General features: G+C 42.5%; 1 annotated feature.

Moving 5' to 3' along the window:
- Nucleotides 428-1,073: an enhancer, noted in NCBI's record as "NANOG-H3K27ac hESC enhancer chr5:107953591-107954236 (GRCh37/hg19 assembly coordinates)". NCBI's record gives its function as "activates a minimal SCP1, AML or CMV promoter by ChIP-STARR-seq in naive H9 embryonic stem cells {active_cell/tissue: H9 hESC(naive)}" and the evidence as "EXISTENCE:reporter gene assay evidence [ECO:0000049][PMID:30033119]".

Consider the following 1,404-nt stretch of genomic DNA (forward strand, 5'->3'; position numbering starts at 1 on the left):
TCAAGTTGAGTTCCAGCTTCTTAAGATGTGGAAAGTTGGAAGGTGTCATTCCAACCCAAAGATCAAGTGAATGTTACATATTGTAAAAAGGCATCATTTTCTTGAACCCATCTAAGAGCTACGTTTTCCAGTGTATGCAACTAGTATAAGTTAAAAATGGATGCTTCCAGGAAGAGACAGCGCATGAGCAGTGGGTTGCCTTTGGCAGAGCACAGAGGAAGATGAGGTCATTATACAAGTGAGTACAATTTAAGGTAAAATTATTAATGAATTGCTAAAAGTTGAGTATGGGCAAGTCTGAAAATACAGAGCCACTGGAGGCCTTAGGTACAAGGGACATTTACAAGCACTTCCAGGCTACTCTGCACAGACCCCAGTGGGCACTTTGGAGGAAGACTGGGGCAAGGTAGAGAATGCAGAATGTCTCCCTCACCAGGTAGCCAGGAGAAGGAGAGCAACTGCTACTGAAGAGACTTGACAACAAATTGTTTGAGACCCGGATCTCTAGGAAAACAAAAATCTATAAAGGATATTATTGGGACAATTGGAGAAATTTGAATATGGAATTTACATAAGAACTGTTCAATATTTTCAGTATAATAGTGGTCTTCTGGTTACGTAGTGCTGTGGTATAACATAAAATATATTTAGTCTCTGTCACTGATTCTTATCACAAAGCTCTTAAAATTCTTGGAATTTCCCGAGTAATAGGAGTGTCTTTGTTATTCATAACACCCTTTGCCTAAGTTTTTGCTAATGAGGTGACTCAGGGTGGGGCTCTAGGATAGCCCGTGAAGGGGCTGGTTGCCATGAATACCTAAGGATTAGAAGATTAGAGTTGGAACTTTCAGTCCCACCACCCAACCTCCAGTAAAGGGTGGGAGGGGGCAAGGAGGCGAGGAGGTGAGGAGGCTGGAGATTAAGCTGTATAAAACCTCTTGAACACTTGGAGGTGCTACGTGGCATGCCTGAGGAGAGCATGGAAGCTCCACACCTCTTCCTCCATACTTTGCCCTATGCATTTCTTCATGTGGCTATTCATCTGTATCCTTTATAATATCCTTTATAATAAAACAATAAATGTACATAAAATGTTTCCCTGGGTTCTATAAGTGATCCTAGTGAATTATCAAACCCAAGAAGGTGGAGATAGGAACCTCGATTTATAGCTGCTCAGTCAGAAGCACAGGCTACAACCTGGAACTTGTGATTGGCATCTACAGTAGGAGCAGTCTTGTGGCAGTGAGCCCTTCACCTGTGGTATCCAATGCTCTCCAGGTAATGTCAGAATCGAAGTGAATTATAGGACATCCAGCTGGCATTTAGAGAGTTGGAGAATTGCTTGGCATGTGGGGAATAATCCCTACACATATGGTCACAGAAGTGCTCTGTACAATGGGGAAA

The sequence above is a fragment of the Homo sapiens genome, chromosome 5 (assembly GCF_000001405.40).
Source record: "Homo sapiens chromosome 5, GRCh38.p14 Primary Assembly".
Classification (NCBI taxonomy): Eukaryota; Metazoa; Chordata; class Mammalia; order Primates; family Hominidae; genus Homo; species Homo sapiens.